Genomic DNA, 23,088 nt, shown 5'->3' with positions numbered 1-23,088 from the left:
TCTCCTGCCTCAGCCTCCCGAGTAGCTGGGATTACAGGCATGTGCCACCATGCCTGGCTAATTTTTTGTATTTTTAGTAGAGTTGGGGTTTCTCCATGTTGGTCAGGCTGGTCTCGAACTCCTGACCTCAGGTGATCTGCCCACCTTGACCTCCCAAAGTGCTGGGATTATAGGCGTCAGCCACCGTGCCTGGCCTGCTTAGACATTCCTAACAACACTGGATGAATGGGGAGCTGGACCAAGCCACTGTCTTCCAGAGTACTGTGGCAAGTGGGGTCAAAGTGGATTCATCCCAAATGGGGATACCTTGAAGTGGCTTCCTGCCTTTGTCCAGGAGCTCCTCCCCGCACCCAGATCCCACAGCAGGAGGGCACTAGAGCCTTGGCCCACACCCCATCCATCCCCGACAGGCTGCAGCATGCCCTGCCTGGTGAGCAGTTTGCCGACCTTTGCCTCTAATTGCTCTCCTCTGCACACAGCCACTTCCTCTGCCTGCAGCAGAACTCATAAAAAGGGAGGCTTTCCTTCATACCTCTGAAAAGTTCAAAAGAACCCATTTCCTAGGGGAGACCTGGTCACGCCATCACTGGGATCAGAGGCTGCTGAGGACGCCAGCCATGAGCTGCTGCTGGCCGGGCCCAGCTGCCCTGAACTGCACCCCAGCCCTGTCACTGCTTTTCAGTGCCAGCATCCTGTGCTCTAAGGCGGTCCAACCTCTATCAAGACCAGCTCTGTTCTCTTTTGGGATCAATCCGCACCCCTTAACCCTGCACTGCATCTTACAGAGCGAGCCCCCATTGCTGTGAATTGTCCATGAAACGTCAAGCCTAACCTAGAATGGTGGGTGACAAAGCCACACCCAGCTTTGGCGAGGTGCGCACCCTGCCCCATCAGATGCTCGCTCCACTGCTCTGCACCCACCGCCCCTGCTATTCCATGGGGCCCCAACCCTGGCTTTGATTGGGAGTTAGAGCGATGTCAGTTTATCTGAGCCCAAAGCACAGGCGTGTTCAGATTGGGAGTAGGGCTTCTGGTTCTTTGGCATGGCTCTTGGGCATGGACCAAACTCCGTTCTTCCCCAGCATCCAAGTTGGTAATGTATGTTCATGAACATCTCAGACAGGATCCTAGACGCCAACCAATAGGGAGTTTCTGGGAGAAAATGAAACAGTTTTGTGCTGTCTGTCCCAGCTGAAGGTGCTCAGGCAATGCTTGTTGAACAAATACATAAATTCTACTTATAGAATAGGAAACAGATCTCTAAAGGGAACCTGCTTTAATAACTTAGAGGTATCTAGAAACAGGATAGGGCTAGATTGGAAAGGAAAACACTCATTTCTAATATACTTTCCTCTCCTAATGACCTCCACTCTCCTCTACCACCCAACAAGCCAAGTGGTGGATGAGTCAGATATGCTTATTAAATAGCATGTGCAGTGGAAGGCTGGCCAGCACCTTCACCATTCCATGCATCCTAACCCTTTCCCCGGCTGCTGTTGCAGCACACACACACACACACACAGAATCTCACACACACTCAAACACACATATAAACATAAACACACTCATATACTCAAACACACACAAACACATACTACACAGACAAACATACACAAACACAATACAAGCATGCACACAAATATACACAAACACGCATATGCACAAAGACACATACAACATATACACAAAACATACAAATACATACATACAAATATATGCATATACATACTTATACCTACAAACCAAACACATATACATAAACACACACTACACACACTCACACACAAACATGCCCATATATACATAAACATACATATATGCAAACACACTACACACAAACACACACAGACATGCGCGCGCACACACACACACCCCTTTCCACCCGTTGAGGGGTTGGGATATGAGAGAAAACATGAACTTTTCATCTGCACTTCATTATAACATGCTGTACAATTAATTGTTCTGTAGGATTTTTTGATGCATGTCACTGAAATTGCTCTAATTTTCACTTGACAACAATAGTTTAATGCTATAAAAATATCCATATATGCATGTGATGGTTTGCAGCTTCTGAAATATGGTCATCTGTTCCAGGTTAAAAGAATTCGAGGCAGCATTCTTCCTGAAGGCCTTTTGTTATTAGTTTGCTTCTCAAAGTCATCTTCCGAATCCTGCTGTGCTAAGCATCACCCCAGCTCAGCCCAGTTATGAATTTCATTGCTGAGCTCTGAGCCCAGGTTGTCTGGCAGCATTTCTGATTGTAATCAGTTTTGTGCAGTGAGATCACCTTGCTGACCACGAGCGGTGGCTCCCAGCACTGCAAAGATATGTGTGGGGCCGGCCTGCTTTTGTGACTGCAGCATTCACCCTTCAGGGGACAGACAGCGGCTCTTGCTGTCTCAATGCCACTGGAAGAACTCCAAAGGGTGCCTGGAGGACCAGCTTGGACTTTCAGTTCTGTTGCTTACGAGTGTGTGACCTTGGACATGTTGTGCGTCTCTCTGCCTCTCGGTTCTGTGACCTGGGCATAGTTAACACCTGCTTTTGAGGTCTTGTGAGGAATAAATGAGACATTTTATTGAAACAGCTACATTGATTTTACAATTCTCAATTCTGACCCATGAATGAAATAGATTTCATTTCATTATGACTGACATTAAAAAAATTAGAATAGATATTGGGTATAAAGTTTCTTTATGGGGTGAGGTAAATGTTCTAAATTAGATTGTGATAATAATTGTACAACTCTGGAAACGTACGAAAATCTACTGAGCTGTGTACACTTTAAGTGGGTGAATTTTGTGGTATATAAATCACATATACATATTTTTGAGACAGAGTCTCGCTCTGTCACCACTCTGTAGTGCAGTGGCACAATCTCTGCGTACTGCAACCTCTGCCTCCTGGGTTCAAGCAATTCTGCCTCAGCCTCCCAAGTAGCTGGGATTACAGGCATGTGCCACCATGCCTGGCTAATTTTTTGTATTTTTAGTAGAGACGGGGTTTCACCATGTAGGCCAGGATGATCTCGATCTCTTGACCTTGTGATCCGCCCACCTTGGCCTCCCAAAGTGCTAGGATTACAGGCATGAGCCACTGCGCCTGGCCTATAAATCATATCTTAATAAAGTTGGTTATACAATAAAATGCCCTTAAAAATCCATCAACCTCTACACTTGGGATTCATGAACTTTAGTATATATGTTAGACTTCAATTAAAAAATTTGGCTGGGCGTGGTGGCTCACACCTGTAATCCCAGCACTTTGGGAAGCCGAGGGGGCAGATCCCTTGAGGTCAGGAGTTGGGAGAGTAGCCTGGCCAACATGGTGAAACCCTGTCTCTGCTAAAAACACAAAAAATTAGCCAGGCGTGGTGGTACGTGCCTGTAATCCCAGCTACTTGAGAGGCTGACTGGGAGAATTGCTTGAACCCAGGAGGCAGAGATTGCAGTGAGCTGAGATTGTGCCACTGTACTCCAGTCTATGTGACAGAGTGAGACTTCATCTCAATTAAAAAAAATAGATATAGGCTGGATGTAGTGGTGCACACCTGCAACACCAGCACTTTGGGAGGCTGAGGTGGGAAGATCTCTTGAGGCCAGGAGTTTGAGACCAGCCTGGATAACATAGCGAGACTCTGTAGCTACAAAAAAAAAAAAAGATAAAAAATAAAAAAATTAATTGAGTGTAGTGGTGCATAGTGCACACATGTAGTCCTACCTATTTGGGAGGCTGAGACAGGAGGATCGCTTGAGCCCGGGAGTTTGAGTTTGCAGTGAGCTATGATCACACCATTGCACACTAGTCTGGGAGATGGAGCAAAAACCTGTCTCTAAAAAATGAAAAAAAAAAAAAAAAGACATAAGAAATAGAATAGAAAATAGCAGAGTGCCTCACATGTAGTAATAGTTAATATCATTTTCATGAACTATATGTGTAAATGTGTGTGTATGCATGTGTGTGTGTGTATGTGTGTACGGGGCTGCAATAGAAATGTGTTTCTAACAGAGGGCTGTTGCTGTAAACATCCACTGGCCTAGCGTCTATCCAGTCAGAGCAGACATTTAACAATGATTACTTATACCCCTTCTCCCCTTCCTTTCCAGAAATGCAAATAAAGAGGAAGAGCACACCCATGTTCAGTAATTGACTTTGACTTCAGAGTGTTGGCCTGTTTTCTGACATAAGAGAGCAGAAACTCTGACTAGCTGGAGGAGCCCCGTTACCACCCCCCTTCCGTGTGTGTATGTACACACACATGCATGCACACAATTAAATCAGGCTCTCTTTTTCTAGTTAAATAAACCCCACACTTGCCAAAGGAACAAATAGTTGGCCTATTGCCAAAGAAAATGTGCCTCTGGGCTTCTGGTTTTGGAGGTTTTGCAGTGTTTACTTTCCAGTGATCTCCACTTGACTCCTTACCTCTTTCATTTGGTTGTAAATACCACAATTTAAACTAGCTACCTGCTGCTGTGACCCTGCATGGGAGGTTGTCTTGACAGATGTGGCAGGCTTCCCTGGCCCCTTCCTCCTCTAGGTGAGTGTGGGGTGGAGGAGGGTGGGCATGAGCAGGAACATGGCTGTCGTGGGGGTGAGTGTGGGGCAGGGACGGCAGCCACTGCCACAAGCAGGACATGGACTTTGTGCTCAATCAAGGTAAATAGATGAAGTCATCCAGTGCCTGGTGACCTTTTGAAGATGACGCAGTATAAATAGCCTTGGGAAGACTATTTCATCAGGGTTGAAACACTTGTGTTTCTGTTGCTTTCTGATGATTATTTTCCTTTGGTTGTTTGCCCCTGTGACACATTTCAGTAACTACCAGATGGGCCTTGGGTGGATGTATCCAATGGGAAAACCAATTTGGAAATGACAGGGCTGGCAGCTGCCTCCTCACTGAAATCTGGGAAATCAGAGAATCGAATCAATTGAAGAACTCTTAGACTTTACTTTGGTTTTGTAAGTTCTGGGTTCAAATTCCCTTTCATATTGTAGATAGAGTTAGACAACTACTAATTTGTGGCCATATTACAACTGATTAGGGTAGAGGGTTAGTCTCTGATTGTAACCAGCTACCTTGGAAAGGCCACGCCAACTCTTTTAGGTCACTTAGCTTTCATCAGTGCCCGAAGGGGAAGTTTCTACCAAGCAGATGGCATATGGTATGTAGCAGATGGTAGATGGTATATGGTAGATAGTGGATGGTAGATATTAGATGGTTGATAGTATATGGTAGATGGTGGATGACAGAGAGTAGATGGTATATGCTGGATGGTACATGGTATATGGTAGATGGTGGATGGTGAATGGCATATGACAGATGGTAGATGAAGAATGGTGGATAGTACATGATAGATGGTTGATGATAGACAATTGATGGTAGATGGTAGATGGTGGGTGGTATGTGATGGATGGTGGATGGCAGATGGCAGTGGTATGTGGTAGATGGCAGATGGTGCATCGTAAATGGTGCATGATGGTGGATGGTGGATGGTAGATGGTAGATGGTAGATGATGGATGATACATGGTATGTGGTAAATGGTATATGGAATATGGTAGATGGTGCATGGTAAATGGTGGAGGATGGTGGATGGTAGATGGCAGATGGTAGATGGTGGATGATAGGTGGTATATGATGAATGGCATATGGAATATGGTAGATGGTGGATGGTAGATAGTACATGGTGAATGGTAGATGGTGGATGGTGGATGGTAGATGGTAGATGATATATGATGAATGGTATATGGAATATGGTGGATAATAGTGGATGGTAGATGACAGATGGCATATGGTGGGTGGTGTATGATGGATGGTGGATGGTAGATGGGAGATGATATATGGTATATGATGAATGGTAGATAATGGATGGCAGATGGTATATGGCATATGGCAGGTGGTATATGTGGTATATGATGAATGGCATATGGAATACAGTGAATGGTAGATGGTGGATGGTAGACGGCTGATGATTGATAGCATAAGGTATATGATAATAGATAGGGCCCAGATTTTAAAGTCCAGCTGCCCAGTGAGAATGCTTTTTCTGCTTCTCACTTGCACCACAATCTTTGTGCCTTGGTTGCTACAGCTGCAAAATAATAGCACCTCACTTGTGGGATTTGTTTTGTTAAGGCAAAATTTTTATAACACAAAATTTTCTATTTTCACACTAAGTGCACCGTTCGGTAGGATTAAGTACATTCACATTATTGTAAACCATCATCATCATCCATCCACAGAACTCTTCGTCTTCCAAAACTGAAACTCTGTACCCATTAAATGGTAACACCTCATTTCCCACTCTCCCCAGTCCCTGACAACCACCATTCTACTTTGAATCTCTATGAATTTGACTACTCTAGGTACCTCATGTAAGTGGAATCTTACAGTATTTATTATTTTGTGACTAGCTTATTTCACTTAACATAACGTTTTTAACACTCACCCAGGTTGTAGCATGTATCAGAATGTCCTTTTTAAAGGCTGAATAATATTCCATTGTATGGACATAACAATTTTATTTATCCATTTATCTGCTGATGGACATGTGGTTGTTTCCCCTTTTGGTTGTTGTGAATAATGCTGCTATAAACATGAGTGTACAAATACGTGTTCAAGTCCCTGTTTTCAATTCCTTTGGATGTCTACTCAGGATATCCAAACTTGATGGAGTAATTCTATGTTTAATTTTTTAAAGAACTAACATACTGTTTTCTACAGTGACTGCACTATTTTATATTTTCACTAACAACACACAAGGTTTCCAGTTTTCTCCACACCTTTGTCGACACTTGTTATTGTCTGGGGCTTTAAAAAATTTATTTATAATAGCCTCTGTGATTTTGGTTTTGAAGGCTAGATGACAGAATGTACAGAAAACACTTAGCCTGTAGTCCCAGCTACTCGTGAGGCTGAGGTGGGAGGATCGCTTGAGCCTGGGAGGCAGAGGTTGCAATGAGCTCAGATGGAGCCACTGCACTCCAGCCTGCATAACAGAGTAAGACCCTGTCTCAAAAAAGTTAAAAAAAAGAAAGAAAGTAGAAAAAAAAAAGTAGAAAGAAAGAGAGAGAGAGAAGGAAGGAAGAAAGGATGAAGGAAGGAACTAATGAAGGAAGGAGAAAGAAAGAAAACACTTAACAAACTTAGTGCCTGGCTCAGTAAATGATAGTTGACCTTGCTGTTTCGGGTGCTGCTTCTCTTTCTGTAGAAGTAACTTAACTGTTAATCTTCATTATAGATTAACTTCTCCCTCTCCTCTCTCATACAAAGACTGTATGCTGTTACATTGTCAAAGACAGGATGCTATATGCTCTTTTAAATTGGAAAGGAAAACAAGCTATACAGAAAAGAAAACAAACTGTAACTAATTAAATTGTTGTAACTCATAAATCCAGCCTTGTATGGAAAATGTCATAGTCCTACTAAACTTTGTTTTGCCTATATAAGCAAGACAGCTTTTAACTTCAGAGAGCTCACCCCGTTTCTGTGGGGTCTATTTCTGTTTTGTTCAGTTACCTGAATGGCCATTCTCAGCTTTGCGCTTGAATAAACTCTTTAAAACTGGATTCTGATCCCTTTGATTATTTCATGTTGACTATATATATATAATATATATATATAAGACTATATATATATAATAATATGTATATGTATTTGGAGAGAGAGGAAGCAAATTCGGCAAAATGTCAATAATTGGTGAGTGAAGGGGATACGGGAGTCCTTTGTACTATTCCTGAATCTCTTCTCTAAAGTTTAAAATTATCTCAAAATAAAAAATGACAAAAGATATGGACTTCTTAGGGACATGTTTCTTGGGGTGTATTTCCCAGCTGTCTGTGTTAGAATTTCCCGGGAGTTTAAAACACAGACACAGGGGTTCCACTGTGGCAGTCCGCTCCAGGAGGTATGGGGTGAAGCCTGAGGATCTGCATTTTCCACAAGCGCCTCAGGGAATTCTGAGTCAGATGGTCGGTAGATGTGACTTCAGGAAGTAGCATCTCCACTGCCTCCTCCAGGCAGTGGACTGTTTGTACACAGTCTCGGCGAGTGGTAGGATGACAGTTGTTCCTGGCTGGTCTTGGTCATGCTTGTCCCGTGCAGACTCGATGCTGAGTCAACCCTGCTGAGGCAGGAACTGAGTCCGGTTTAGGATTAAGTCACCTACTTAGACCCAGTGACAGTCCCATGTTTGCTAAAGTCCCCTGCTCTTCCCTGGGTCTCTTCACTGACACAGCAGGCATGGTGTCCTCAGAGATGGTCTGGTAGTCATTCGATCTTCCCAGGAATCCAAAGTAATGTTACTGACAACAAGGGAGTGATCCAGAGGTGGTGGAGGTGACGATGGTGATGCCGCTGCTGCTGCCGACCTGGTATAACCATCCCTAAATGATGTGTTTGGCAAGGAAAGACCCAGGAATCAGGGCATTCACATAAAGAGTACGAAGTAAAGGGAAAGATGGGAATGAGGTGGGAGAGAGGAGCACGCAAGGTATTTGAAGTTATTCTTCTGTTTGTTCAACCAGCATTTTATGAATGCCATGTGTGTACCAGGCACTTTGCAGGGCATGGAGAATAAGATTAAGTACAAGAACAGATAGAGCCCCCCTTGTTTTATGGAGCTCAGCCCAGGTCTGGATCTCACAGTTGACTAGGAGAATGGGAAACAGAGCCTTGACTTGTCATAAAGCCTTCTTGAAGGGAAGAAGTGAATGGGAAATAGCGTTTAGAAAGTTTGGCTCCAGATGGCGAGGTTGGGGAGGGAATTCCTGACTATCAGAGAATGTATTTTTCTGCAGATAAAAATCAAACTGTGGGTCCCAATAATAATAGTAATAATAGTACTACTAATAAAATAACTCAAAGCTTTTATCTCAAGGCCTCACGAGAGAAATAGTTGGAAATCCACTCTCAGGTCCCTCCCATCTCACCTTTGGAATCATCAGGTTTCCAGAACAGCTACAGCCTTCCTCTTTTTGTTCCCTGGTGGTCACTGTCTGTGGCTGGGTGGGGGACGCCTCTTCACTGTCACCTCCAGGCTTCCTCTTCTGGCTCCATGCAAAGTCTCAATTCTTCCTCCTCTCTTCTCCAGAAGGGACTGCATTTACTTCTTTCTTATTTGTTTATTTTTCTCTAACACTTACTTGTTGGGTAGATAATGCACTTGTATAGTTGAAAAATCAGGCTGGGGTCGGTGGCTCATACCTGTAATCCCAGCACGTTGGGAGGCCGAGGCGGGCGGCTCACCTGAGGTCAGGAGTTCGAGACCAGCCTGGCCAATATGGTGAAACCCCATCTCTTCTAAAAGTACAAAAATTAGCCAGGCATGGTGGCACATGCCTGTAGTCCCACCTACTCGGGAGGCTGAGGCAGAAGAATCACTTGAACCTGGGAGGCGGAGGCTGCAGTGAGCCAAGATCGTGCCGCTGCACTCCCGCCTGGGCGACAGAGTGATACTCCATCTCAAAAAAAAAAAAAAAAAAAGAAAAATCAATGTTATCCAAGAGGACCCAAGGAATAGTGCGCCTGCCATTCCTGCCTCCCAGTCATGACTTCTCCCAGAGGCAACCAATGCTTCTCATTTCTTCTGTGTCTTTCCAGAGATAGTCTCTATTAAGGCATATATTTTTCTTCATTTTTTTAAAAAAGATTCTAGTGTATTTTAGATACCGTTTAGTACTTTGCTTCTTTCATCAATTTAAAAATATCTCTTGGAGATCATTCCCTATCATGAGGGATCTTGTTCTTCTGTGACTGCATGGTATCCATGGTGTATATACAGCTATAATTTAGTTAATTGATTAATGGTCATTTAGGTCATTTCCAAACTTTTCCCTTTGTAACGTACATACGAGTATAACTGCAGGTTACATTCCTAGAAGTAGAACTATTGGGTGCAGGAGGATATGAGCTTTGGTCTTTTTTTTTTTGAGACACAGTCTCGCTCTGTCACCCAGGCTGGAATGTAGTGGCACCATCTCAGCTCACTGTAACCTCTGCTTCCTGGGTTCAAGTGGTTCTCCTGCCTCAGCCTCCTGAGTAGCTGAGATTACAGGGGCTCACCATCACTCCCAGCTAATTTTTGTAGATTTGGTAGAGACGGGGTTTCACCACGTTGGTCAGGCTGGTCTCGAACTCCTGACCTCAGGTGATCCACCTGTCTCGGCCCCCCAAAGTGCTGAGATTACAGGGGGAGCTTGGTAGTTTTGATGAATATTGCCAGATTGTCCACCATGGAGGTACTAACTGACACGTCCATCAACAATCTATGTGTTCACATTTTACAAACCCTTGCCACCATAATAATCATTTTTTATGTTTGCAATCTTGCAGGTAAAAAAAGAGGAGTCCCATTGAAATTTTAACTTTCATTCCTCTTATTACAAGTGGATTTCAACATTCTTTCTTATGTTTAAAATCTATTTTCATTTTCTTTTGAAGGAACTGTTTTTCCCCCATATCCATTCCTATTTGTTCTATTGGGTTCTAGTTTTTTTTTTTTTTTTTCTTTTTGTTTACTTTACTTTTTATGTATTAGGCCAAATTAGCTCTCTGTTAATGACGTGAATGCAAATGTATTTTCTAGTTTGTCATTTGTCTTTTAGATTTACTTATGTTGGTTTGCCCTACAAACTTAAAAAAAAATGTATATAGTTGATTGGATCAGTCTTTTTTTTGTGGCTTCTGTTGTGTTTTGCACTTAGATTTTTTTTATAGCAAGATTATTTTAAAAATATCCCATCAAGTCTTCTAACACTTCTGATTTAATTTTTTATATTAAAAATTTAAATCCGTATTAAATTTATCCTGGTGTAAGATGTGAGGTGTGAATTCAACTTCATTTTTACCCCTCAATGGTTATCCAATTGTTCTAACACCATCTTTTATGCACTGATTTGAAGTGCTACCCTTTTCATATACTAAATTATCTCTTATGCTTGTGTTTATTTATGGGCTTTTTATTCTGTTCCATTTATCTGCCTGTGTGTTTCTCATGAATACCATTTCAATGATCAGTTGTATAATGTCAATGTTTGTCCGGGATGACCCATTATTACTCTTCTTTTTCAGAAATTTCCTGACTACTTTGCTTGTTTATTTCTACATATGATTTTTAGTATCAGCTTATCTAGTTAAAAAATCTCATTATTTTATAGGGATAGTTTATTTATGGGCTATTAACTTATGGAGTAAGTTAGGGAGAAATGACATTTATGGTGTTTTCCACTCTATGAATATGATATGTCTTATTATTTGCTCAGGATTTTTTTTATGTGTCCAGTAGTAACTTTTTATATTTATTTATTTATTTATTTTGAGACAGAGTCTCCGTCTGTCACCCAGACTGGAGTGCAATGGCACAATCTTGGCTCACTACAACCTCCACCTCCCAGGTTCAAGCGATTCTTCTGCCTCAGCCTCCCAAGTAGCTGGGATTACAGGCACCCACAATCATGCCAGGCTAATTTTTGTATTTTTAGTAGAGACGGGGTTTCACCATGTTGGCCAGGCTGGTCCTGAACTCCTGACCTCAGGTGATCCGCCTGCCTCGGCCTCTCAAAGTGCTGGGATTACAGGCGTGAGCCACTGCACGTGGCCCCAATAGTAACATTTTAAAGTTTTTATTTCATATAGATCTTAATATTTTCTTGTTGAGTTTATTTCTAAGTATTTTTTCCTTCTTTTTTTAAATTGTGAATTACTCTTTATCTTCTAACTGGTTGCGATTTGCATTCATTGAAGGATATTGAATTAATTATTTCTCCATATTAATTTTAAAAGCAGTCACCTTACTGAATTTCTTATTTGTGAAATAAGCACACTGAGTGAGCATTTGAATCATTAGAAATTAATTTTTTCTGTTTTAATATTTATTCATACAGTAAATTCTTTATACTGGTCAGTTTGAGTTTTCTTGTGCAGTGGCTAATGTTGAGTACTTTTTATTTTGGCAGAACTTATTAACCAATTTGTCATGGATATCTCTCTAGTTGTATGATGTGTTAGGAGTTTTATGTTATTTTCATCAATGCCATTATTTTGTGTCAAATCAGCACAAAATTTAAATATTTTTCCAGTGAGTTCAGTGATGCATTCTTTTTTTACCAGTTGAATTATAAAATAACACAAGAACCTATTCATTATAGTCCGTTACTTATATTAGAGATCTATTTCTTCCTATTTAATGAATTATTGCATTTCGTATAGTCTGAATTATTATACTTTTTATATGCCTGTTGGCCTGGGGCCTTGGCAGAGGAGAACACATTTGATGACTTTCTTAAACCATGGGATCAGTTTCTCATTGTCAGAACCAATAGATTCCTTCTTTCCTCCTTGCCCACAGCTCACTGCAGGCCACAGCCAGAATCAAGCTTCCCCAAAGGGTACTCTCATCACACCATATCACTTCCCTAGCCATAGGCTTCCACTGTCATCAAAACAGGGCTCACCAGCTAGTTTCCAGATCTCTCTATAATTAGGCAATGCTAACCTGTCTATAATTCCTCAATACTGTAGTTAAATGTCTTAGTGTAGTGCCCAGCATATAGCACATGAATACATGCAGATATGTGTGTGAGTGTATATACATCAATCCCCTTTAATGTAGTTATTGCTCCAGAAAGCTCTGGCATAGGTTTGGGCCGTTGTGAAGCTGACGTGGGCTTCAAGGCTCTTTTTAAGTCAAGTTCCGAGTGTTTCTGGTAGCTTTGGGGCTGTCCTGAAGATGTCCAAGGAGAAAGTGTGAGCCAGCGGCAGCTAATCTGCAGAGCAGTTGGGTGAGCTCCTACGTAGCTGATGTGGAAATGTGTTAATTCACCTCCACCAAGGCCTGTCCTTTACAGCCATTCCAGACTCACCAAAGGAGGAGACTTAGGCACTTCTGCATTTGGCAATCAGCAGAGTGAATTTAAATATATGTATTTAAATTATATATTTAATTTATATATATTCAGATTATACCTGCAAGACATTGTCAGATATCAGGTTGAATCAGAACATTGCATGCAGTTACAGAGCTGGCAACAATAGCATATTTTTAAAATAGTGCTTTCATTTATAGAAGTAATTTGTGCTTATCATAAACATTAATAGTCAAAAGTTATTAAGTGGTTGGGTGCAGTGGCTCACACCCATAATCCCAGCACTTTGGGAGGCCGAAGTGGGAAGACTGCTTGGGCTCAGGAGTTCAAGAGCAGCCTGGGCAAGATAGTGAGACTTCATCTTTACTTAAAAAAAAAAAAGTTAACTGGGCATGGTGACATGCACCTGTGGTCTTAGCTACTTGGGAAGCTGAGGCAGGAGAATCACTTGAGCCCCTGAGGTCGAGGCTGCAGTGAGCCATGATCACGCTGCTACACTCCAGCCTGAGTGACAAAGCAAGACCCTGTCTCAAAAAAAAAAAAGTTATTAAGTAAGAATTTCTCCTGATCCTACTCTTCAGAATTGTCTACTTTTTAATGCTTTCTTGGGAATGCTTTCAAATACTTTGTATGCATATATATGCATATACTTCCTTTTTTTTGCACAAATGAAATAATGTCATATATAATTGCTTTTTTCCACTTATCCACATGCAGCATACATTTTCCCTGTTGGCATGTAGAGACAGCTCACATTATTATTATTATTATTATTTTTCGAGACGGAGTCTCGCTCTGTCACTCAGGCTGGAGTGCAGTGGCCTGATCTTGGCTCACTGCAAGCTCCACCTCCTGGGTTCACACCATTCTCCTGCCTCAGCCTCCTGAGTAGCTGGGACTACAGGTGCCTGCCACCATGCCCCACTATTTTTAAAATTTTTTTTAGTAGAGATGGGGTTTCACCATGTCAGCCAGGATGGTCTTGATCTCCTGACCTTGTGATTTGACCGCCTCGGCCTCCCAAAGTGCTGGGATTACAGGCATGAGCCACTGTCCCTGGCCATCTCACATTATTTTTAAGGGGGCATTGTTTTTGTTGTATTTTACTAAATGGATGTTTCAGCATTTATTTTAGGAGTCTCCTCTTTTCAGACTTTTTTTTTTCAGTTCTTTTGCTGTTACAGACAATACTTCAATCAATATTTTTATGCAAAATGTCATTTTACACTTTTGAAAATTTATCTGTAGGAGAATTTCCTGGAAATATAATTGCTAGTTCAAAAATATGCACATTTATAATTTTCATAGATATTAACAAGCTTCTCTCTAAAGACATTTTGCTAATTTATACCCTCACTTATAGCATTTGAGAGAATAGCAACATCCTTGGCTACAAGCTGGGGAGGATACATCTGTCTATCTTTACTCTCACATAGTAGAATGGAGTAGTGAAAAGAATACTAAGATAGGAGTCAAGAAATTCATGTAGAGCACATTTGGTGTGGTACGAAGAACAGAGAGTTGTGGAGACCTAAATACTTCAAATGTATGTATGTATGTATGTATGTATGTATTGAGACGGAGTCTGGTTCTGTCACCCAGGCCGGAGTGCAGTGGTGTGATCTTGGCTTATTGCAACCTCTGCCTCCTGGGTTCAGAGGTTCTGAACTTGAACCTCCTGGGTTCAAGTGATTCTCCTACCTCAGCCTCCTGAGTATCTGGGATTATAGGTGCCTGCCACTGTGCCTGGCTAATTTTTGTATTTTCAGTAGAGATAAGGTTTCGCCATGTTGGCCAGGCTGGACTGGAACTCCTGGTCTCAAGTGATCCACTTGCCTCGGCCTCCCAAAGTGCTGGAATTACAGGTATGAGCCACCACACCCAGTCCCAAGACTTCAATTTTAATTGTGACTCCACTATCCACTAATATGGTGAAGATGGGGCAGTTTATTTAATCACCCTGAGCTTCAGTTTTCTCAACTATACAAGTGGGGATAATGCTCCCCTACAGTGCTACAAAGGTTTAATGAGATAATGTATATAAAGGGCAGACTGTTAAGTGTTTGCCAATTCTCATTTCAGTTTACTCTTCCTAGCCTACATTTCCCAGCCTCCCTTGCAGTAAGGTGAGACCATGTGACTGGGCTCTGGCCAGTTGGATGTGGGCAGAGAATCCACAGGGTTGAACCCATTCCCAGGCTCCATTCCTTCATCTGGAGCAACAGGGACCATGTGTTGAGATGGTGGAGGGCAGAGGAACCCAGGCTGTGCCGTGTGTGGAGGAGCTCTTCTCTGCACTCTGCCTACATTTGGACTTGGATTATACTCGATCAAAAAATATTTATTTATTTATTTATTTATTTATTTTTTGAGACAGAGTCTTGCTCTGTCACCCAGGCTGGAGTGCAATGGCACTACCTCGGCTCACTGCAACCTCCACCTCCTGGGTTCAAGCGATTCTCCTGCCTCAGCCTCCCAAATAGCTGGGATTACAGGTGCCCATCACCACACCCTGCTAATTATTGTATTTTTAGTAGAGATGGGGTTTCACCATGTTGACCAGGCTGGTCTTGAACTCCTGACCTCAGGTGATCTGCTCACCTTGGCTGCCCAAAGTGCTGGGATTACAGGCGTGAGCCACTGTGCCTGACCCAAGAAGTAGACTCTTGTTGTGTTAAGCCATTGAGGTTCCAGAACTGGTGGTCAGTGCACTATAGCCAAGCCCACCTCACCAGTACAAGGGTTTCATCAGCATTGCAGGTGTTCTGCAAGCATATGTGCTCTTTCTAGGATCTAAACTGGATCTGTGGCTATGTAGTGACCTCGGGGAAGTTCCTTTCTGAAGGCCTCAGCTTCCTCATCAATTAAATGCGAATGCTGAGCTTGATGAACCAATCCAGCCATCCTTCCCAGCTCTCATACCTGATGGCTTAGAATCACTGGAGAGCAGGGTAGAGTCTAAGTCCTTGGTGCCTTGGGCATGGTGAGACAAAGTAGCAAGCGTAAGAAGCCATGTTTGCTAGTTTCTGCTTGCCAGCAGAATTTCTCAAAGCCCCTGGCTCTGTGACGAGGTTCAGTTCTCTGGAAAGATTCTTTAAAGACAAAACAGGATAGAGCACACAGTCCCCCACCCCTCTTGCCTGAATCACTACATTCCTTAAAAGATAAATGACCCTAGTCCTTGCCTTTTCCTCCACATAAGATAAGGAGTGACGAGGCTAGTGGTTACGCTTCTGTAATTTGTAACCAGATGTACTTTTACACCCAGACTTTGATGTGATTTTGCTTCAATGTAACTTCTGAGCAAATCTGATGCAATTTTGCATGTCCTGAACCCCCAGGACCTGTATATAAGCAGTGGGCCGAAATACTGTACCGGAGCAGTCTGATGGGCCAGTCTGACAGGCCTTGGTCTGTTGTTCTCAGCAATACCTCTCAATATAATAAAACTAATTCTTTAAAAGCTTGACTTTTTTGTTTCATGGACAGCATAAATACCTATAAACCTCACCAGCAAGGCAGCATGGTATGGGGTTATAACCACGGATGTCAGAGTCAGGCTCTGTAGTTTCATATCCTACCCACCCACCCCTTCCCTGATAGAAGCTGTGTGAACTTAGGCAAGTGACTCAACCTCTCGTTGCCTTATTTTTCCATTTTTTTTTCTTGAGAAGGAGTCTCGCTGTGTTGCTCAGGCTGGAGTGCAGTGGCGCTATCTTGGCTCACTGCAAGCTCCACCTCCTGGGTTCATGCTGTTCTCCTGCCTCAGCCTTCTGAGTATCTGGGACTACAGGTGCCCGCCACCACGCCCAGCTAGTATTTTTGTATTTTTAGTAGAGATGGGGTTTCACCATGTTAGCCAGGATGGTCTTGATCCTCTGACCTCATGATCTGCCTGCCTTGGTCTCCCAAAGTGCTGGGATTACACGCATGAGCCACCGAGCTTGGCCTCACTTTTCCATTTTTTTTTTTTGTAGTTTTCCTCAGATAGATCTTGCACATATTTTGTTAGATTTGTACCTAAGTGTTACATTTTGGAGGGTGCTAATTGCTGGGAAGTTTTTCACATGGCCTCAGACTGACCCAGTTCTTCCCCCTTTCTTGTTTGGAGTTCTCAATGCTGGGAGTTCTTATGCTGGGAGTACAACATGCCAAGATGAGGAGGAGCTGGTTGGAACAGTCAGGCTTCGTTCCTGTTCCCCCTAAGAGCAGGATGTCCTTCAGTGCCTTAGTCTAGCATGTTGTGTTCCCTTGGGGAGGATAAAACCCAAGGTAGGCTGCTTTCTGGGGTTCCTTGGCTGTGGTGCAAGTGGGGTCACGTGCAGTCGAGTCTTCATCTACCCTGGGCAGCTTTTCTGAGCTTTGGGGGACTGGCTTGTCATGAATCCTAGGCTTCTGTTGTCCCTTACTGCCTATCTGTGAGTAATAAACCTGTTTTGTGTAACTTGCATGCATGAGTGTTCTGTCTCACTGGACTTGGGCAAATAATCATTGCACAGTAAACTTGCTTCACAGTACTATAAACAGTATTATGTTTTTAATATCAAATTCCACTTGTTTATTGCTGAGTCATAGGAAAGCAATTGACTTTTGTATATTAATCTTGTATCTTGCAACCTTGCTATAGTTGGGTTTTAGTTTCAGATTTTTGTTGTTTCTGTTCTTTCAGATTTTCTACACAGACATCACGTCATCTGCAAGCAAAACCAGTTTTATTTCTTTCTTCTTATTCTTATACTTTTTATTTCCTTTTTTTTCTTGTTGCATTAACTAGGACTTCCAGTATGATATTGAAAAGGAGTGGTGACAGGAGATCCATTATTTTTAAAATGAAGACTATGATAGGCTCTACCTAATAAGACTCTTTTGAGGCTCAAGGAACTAGCACATGTAAAGTGCTTAGATGAGACCTGGAACTTAGTAAGTGTTAGGTAAATGTTTGTTAAATAAATAAATTACTTAGAACTCCCTGTGTCTAGATAATTCCTAGACTTGGTGACTTCACTATGTCCAACTGCAGGCAGGGTGCTCCAGTCAGGTAAGAGAGCTGGGGACAAGGGAGTTAGGTCTGATAAGCTATCCTGCCCAACTGGTTCCTTGCTAGACCTATGCGCCACAAGGAGGGGAAATGACCCAGACTCATTATGGAAACTCTCTTCGTTGTTTCCAATTAGAGGTGAGAATGGAAGCCAGAGCTCCTTTCTTCACTTAATTTTATTTTCTTTTCTTTTCATTTTTTCGAGATGGGGTCTTTCTCTGTTGCCCAGGCTGGAGTGCAGTGGCACAATTATAGCTCACTGCAGCCTCAAACTCCTGACGTCAAGCAATCTTCCCACCTTGGCTTCCTGGAATTTGTCTTTTGGCCACAATCAAGAGACTTGGAAAGTGGTTGAAGAGTCTTGCTCATTTAAGGAAAACTCTTTAGGAAGGACTTGTAGATGACATGGTAGAATCTTTAGAAGGCTGGAGTTCATCCTTAATTTGCATTGTCACTGGGCAACCATCAGCATTGCATTGACACTCGGCAAGTGTGTGCCACCTCTGCTGCTGGGGAATTGAGAGTGTAATAAATTAGAATTATTATGTGTAGAACCATATAGAATTCAGCAAAATACCTTTACATGAGTGCCATTCACAGTCCAGTACACTGAAGATGGCAGTGATTTCCTGTGGTTTTAGTAGGGGTCTGACCAGGAATTAATTGCTGCAGCATCTCCATAGAAAAAACATCATGACCTAGATCCTTGGCACTTCCAGTGCCTGCTGGCTGGATCCGACAGTCCATGATGAAGTTCCTTCCAGAGGCTGAAGTGGAGCCAACATTGAGAACAGAATTGAATTATCCTGGTCAAGGAGAGGACAAGATCAATGTTTGATATTCATGCTCTGATAGATGGGAGGGAAAGGCTGTTCTTCTGTGGCACCCAGCATGCAACATTCTGCCCTGGGAAAAGCTGTAACGTGGTGATCTTGCACTGTGTGTTGTTATTCTCTGCAGCAGAAACTAATGTCTGCCTAGAGGGAGGAGCAGGGCCACAGCTGAGTGTCTGAGGAGACTTGCTGCTCATTCAGCCAGTCTACCTTGGAAGTTCACCTGGTGGGCTGCAGAGCTCCTGTCCACATGCGCTTAGTGATTTGCATCCTCCCTCTCTCTCTCTCTCTTTCTCTCGCTCTCACTCTTTTAGAGACAGAGTCTTGCTCCATCACCCAGGCCGGAGTGTAGTGGTACAATCATAGCTCTCTGTCATCTTGAACTCCTGGATTCAAGTGATTCTACTGCCTCAGCCTTCTGAGTAGCTGACACTACAGGCATATGCCACCACGCCTGGCCGATTTTCTAGATTTTTTGTAGAGATGAGAGTCTTGCTATGTTGCCCAGGCTGGTTTCGAACTCCTGGCCTCACGCAATTCTCCTGCCTTGGCCTACATGTTCTCTTAAATTCAGGTTAACAGGCCAGCTGAGGGTCAGTGTACCTCCTATGCAGCATTGAGTCTGTGATTGATGCTCAGTGAAGGGGTGAAGGTTGGTTGTTTGAAATGATAAACCCTGGCTGTTCCTGGCAATGGTTCCAGTGAGAGCTGCTCAGGGTCCAGAGAGAAGAGGGGCAGATGCCCTGTAAGAAATCTGCACTGCTGCCAGGCCTGCACTGTGAGAGCCTCTCATGCCCCATCTCTTGGTGTAGGAAGCATCTCACTGGCTTCCTTCTTCAGCTCATCAAGGTGGAGGGCCTGGTGGGCACTTATGTCAACCACAGAATGCTGAGGAGGGCTGTCCACCTACCTTTTGAGTTATGGAATTCAGAGCCAGGCTCAAGACTTGGCGAAGGGTCTGAGCATATTGGCCACTGCAGGAGTGTGCCAGGAGGGGATGCTTAGGGTTGGGGGTTGAGGTGAGTGAAGACCTTGGGGAAATTCAGCCAAAGACGATAAGGAGGAGGGAAGGGGACACTTGGTTCAGACCATCTAAAGGGCTCTCTCCTGCTGCTGATGCAGAGGCCAGGGGACGCACCAGCGACTGCAGCTCGCCCAGCTGGCCCTCTGGTTGGTGCATGGCCGCCACTCACATGTCAGCAACAGTGACAGAAGTGTGGAAGGGGAGCTGTTCGCAAGTCATGGTTTACCCATAATTGCTGCAAAGTGGGAGAGCCCTGAGTGGCTCTCCATCCAGTCCCAGCCTGGCTTGGAAACAGGATTTGTGCTCCCCAGGGAGGCTGGGTGATAGAGCGTTAAGGAGCAACCGTTGCTCCATCTCTGGATTTGAGGTAATGTAGCAGAAAAGAAGCCAGACAGGCCCAAGCTGAAATCGCAATTCCAGCACTGAGCATTTGTGTTGTCTTGAAAGTTCTTCTCCAGCTATCAGAATCCTCATCTGTGGGAAAAAAAAGAGGCACTACTTCATTGCTTGGGTGACGGCTATGACAGAGCCTGTGTGCTCAGGACAGTGGGGAGTAAACGGGGCTCTTACGGTGGAGGAGAGCCCCTAAGCCGGCTGCCAGCATTTCTGTGTCTCCACTGAGCAAGGAGTTAAGCTTCTCAAGTAGTAAGCCTCTAAGAGACACATTTATAGAGGCAGAAGGTACTCAGATATACACGTGCCAAATGTGAGGGCATGCTTGAGTGTGAGCAGCGCTGTAAATTGAAAACAGCCTTGCAGCAAAGCATGACTAATTATAGGACTTGGGAACCTTACCAAAGCTCCTTCGTAGCATTCAGATGATTGTGTTAAAGAGAGCATTCTAGAATTTTCAGCTGAGTTTCAGAGGCTGAGTGCGACATGCCGTCACTTTGTCCTTATGGTTTGTACCCGCCCGGCCTGAGAGGTGCTGTATTTGCACATTTCAGCCCCCTGAGCACTGACGGGTGGTGAATATGGAGCAGTGGGGCCCAGGCTGCACTCTCTACTTCGTTTCTCCTTCACCCTGGGCAAAAAGCTAGCAGGCTTTCCTGTTTCCGAGCTGACTGTGTGATCTGAGCTGACTCTGTGAGCATTGTTTTGTTCCTTTGAGTGGCATAAGCTGGTGGGGGGCTGGCAGGGGAGTTGTACTGGTGACTGGGTAAGGGGCTCAGAGGGAGGGGAAAGGCAGAGAGAGTGGGAGAACTGCAGTGTTTGATCATGGAGCCCCTTCGTCACCCACCAGGCAGTGCCCCCCCTCCACCCACTCCTTCCTCTCCCAAAAGGCCCTGGCTGGGGCTTATCTCTGCACTGCTTCTCTGGAATGACGTTGCCTCGTTTTGTCCTCAAGTTAAATGAAAGGTACACATCCAGCACACATATCCCTGGTGGGTTTTCTGGTGTCCAGACCTAATGCCACACTAAACAGAAGTATATTTTTTGGTTATAAAAGTCCAGGAATTTTTTTCTTTACTCCTTTCCCACTTCTCTCAAGTGTAGGGAGCCCCCATATGTGCCAGAGAAGAGAAATGTCTCCAGTTCCCCAGGCCGCTGACTCAGTGAAGTTCTGGCTGGCACATTGCTTGGATGGAAAACAGTGTGTTCCACATACAACCTTTGTAAGAAGTGTGACCCCCACGCTGGTGGGGCCCCACTGTCCTGGAGAAACTTATGACGTTCACATGGGCAATTCTGAGTCTGTGTTCTTGGATAAGTGGTCCTCCGCTCTGCCCGAGGCCAGCACCAGGAAGCCACCTCGCCACAGTCTCCTGCAGGCACTCTCTGCTGTCCTGTTATGGACTGGAGGAACCCTCAGCACCCCTGAAGAGCATTTGTCTGGGACAGACACCACCCTGAAGCCAGTTGCTGTTTATTGAGCACCAACTTTGTGCTTGGGACTCAGGCAAGTGACCTCCTCTAGTCCTGGCAACCGCTTTGTCAGGGAGACCCTGTTAGGCTCATTTTACAGTGTGGAAGCTGGAGTTCACACAGGCATGCTAACTTGCTCCAGATCATGCAACTGGCCCTAAAACACGCTTCTCCTGCAATACTGTCCTGCACACAGGCCCCTGTCGGGGGCACAGGCCTGGGTGGGGCAGCAGGCCGCAGAGTTAATGCACAACGTGAAGTGGGAGTCGTTGGATCAGCAGCCCAGAAAATACTGGAAGAGCCACAGCTTAGACCTGTGTGCCTCCTTTTTTTGCTTTCTGCTTTTAAAATCTGTATCCTGAGGCTCACAGTTCTCACCCTAGAATCAATGCGACTGGGAAGTTTTTCTGCTCCAGGCTGTCCTTTCTCACGGACAAAATGGGGGTAATAAAAACAACAGCAGGAATCTCTGAAAGTTATGCAGCATTAATGTCCAGAAAATATTTACTGTTTTGGCAAGACTACTAATTGAGGGGCTTTTATATGCTGGTAAAAGTAAAATGCACAAAACCCCAAGATACCCACAAGCTGTGTGTATAATTCAGAACTGAGCTGTAGGAGAGAAAAACAGCAGCCAAATTCAACCAGGGATTAAGGGAGCCTCCCATTATGTGAGAAAACCTTGGACTCCACAGAATTCCATCCCTGTAAAGCATTGGTGAGTGAGTGACAAGCCCTTCAGCCAATGAGATTCCACATTGGAAGCAATGACATCATGGAGGTAAAGGCTTATTCGTTGTTGGCCTCTGAGACCCAACCCCAAGCTACTGGCATGTGTAAAAACTGCTTCTCATTGGCCTGGAGGAGACAGTGCACTCCAGAACAATGCTTTATCCGGCCTCTAGCAACCAACTGCTTCCAAAGACCCTTGTGTGCTTTCTGCTCTACCCAGATGGGGGTTGTGTGTATTCCACCCTGGGGCAGTTGACAACACCTGAGATGAACAATGCAGCTCATGCATTTTGCAGTTGGGTTTCCCCAAGAATCCTGCTCCACCTGTTGTGGTTTTTCTAGTGTCGCTGCAGGACATAGTCTGTTGGAGCAGGAGCTGAGAAAGACCAGGACCAGAAGCAGATTGCTCATTTGCTTAGTGATGGGAAGTTATGTATATATTCACCTCTCAAAGCAGCTGTGATCCAGGCTTTTGCAGTTTGAAGTCTCTTCTCCTCCTCAGGGAAATGGGCCTCCCCTGGGCATAACAGAGGTGCAAAGAGCACTGTAGATTCTACAGATAGCGGAAGTGGGGGGTGCATTTGTCCTCATGGGCAATTCCAATGAGAGAGGCTCTTCATTCCTGCTCCGAGACAGCATTTCCAGCTGGGAATGGAATCTTCTTTGGCTGAGAGGGTCTGGTTAGAACTACGAAAAAGGGAGATATGATGCATGGTTGGTTCATTTTGAG

The 23,088-nt window shown here is 44.0% G+C and overlaps 5 annotated features.

Annotated features, from left to right (window-relative positions):
* Window positions 582-1,155: an enhancer, noted in NCBI's record as "H3K4me1 hESC enhancer chr1:229360637-229361210 (GRCh37/hg19 assembly coordinates)". NCBI's record gives its function as "activates a minimal SCP1, AML or CMV promoter by ChIP-STARR-seq in primed H9 embryonic stem cells {active_cell/tissue: H9 hESC(primed)}" and the evidence as "EXISTENCE:reporter gene assay evidence [ECO:0000049][PMID:30033119]".
* Window positions 4,104-4,603: an enhancer, noted in NCBI's record as "H3K4me1 hESC enhancer chr1:229357189-229357688 (GRCh37/hg19 assembly coordinates)". NCBI's record gives its function as "activates a minimal SCP1, AML or CMV promoter by ChIP-STARR-seq in naive and primed H9 embryonic stem cells {active_cell/tissue: H9 hESC(naive and primed)}" and the evidence as "EXISTENCE:reporter gene assay evidence [ECO:0000049][PMID:30033119]".
* Window positions 4,604-5,105: an enhancer, noted in NCBI's record as "H3K4me1 hESC enhancer chr1:229356687-229357188 (GRCh37/hg19 assembly coordinates)". NCBI's record gives its function as "activates a minimal SCP1, AML or CMV promoter by ChIP-STARR-seq in naive and primed H9 embryonic stem cells {active_cell/tissue: H9 hESC(naive and primed)}" and the evidence as "EXISTENCE:reporter gene assay evidence [ECO:0000049][PMID:30033119]".
* Window positions 19,810-20,417: an enhancer, noted in NCBI's record as "H3K27ac-H3K4me1 hESC enhancer chr1:229341375-229341982 (GRCh37/hg19 assembly coordinates)". NCBI's record gives its function as "activates a minimal SCP1, AML or CMV promoter by ChIP-STARR-seq in primed H9 embryonic stem cells {active_cell/tissue: H9 hESC(primed)}" and the evidence as "EXISTENCE:reporter gene assay evidence [ECO:0000049][PMID:30033119]".
* Window positions 22,220-22,857: an enhancer, noted in NCBI's record as "OCT4-NANOG-H3K27ac-H3K4me1 hESC enhancer chr1:229338935-229339572 (GRCh37/hg19 assembly coordinates)". NCBI's record gives its function as "activates a minimal SCP1, AML or CMV promoter by ChIP-STARR-seq in primed H9 embryonic stem cells {active_cell/tissue: H9 hESC(primed)}" and the evidence as "EXISTENCE:reporter gene assay evidence [ECO:0000049][PMID:30033119]".

The sequence above is a fragment of the Homo sapiens genome, chromosome 1, assembly GCF_000001405.40.
Source record: "Homo sapiens chromosome 1, GRCh38.p14 Primary Assembly".
In the NCBI taxonomy this organism is placed as follows: domain Eukaryota; kingdom Metazoa; phylum Chordata; class Mammalia; order Primates; family Hominidae; genus Homo; species Homo sapiens.
This window is presented reverse-complemented; position numbering and strand designations above follow the sequence as displayed.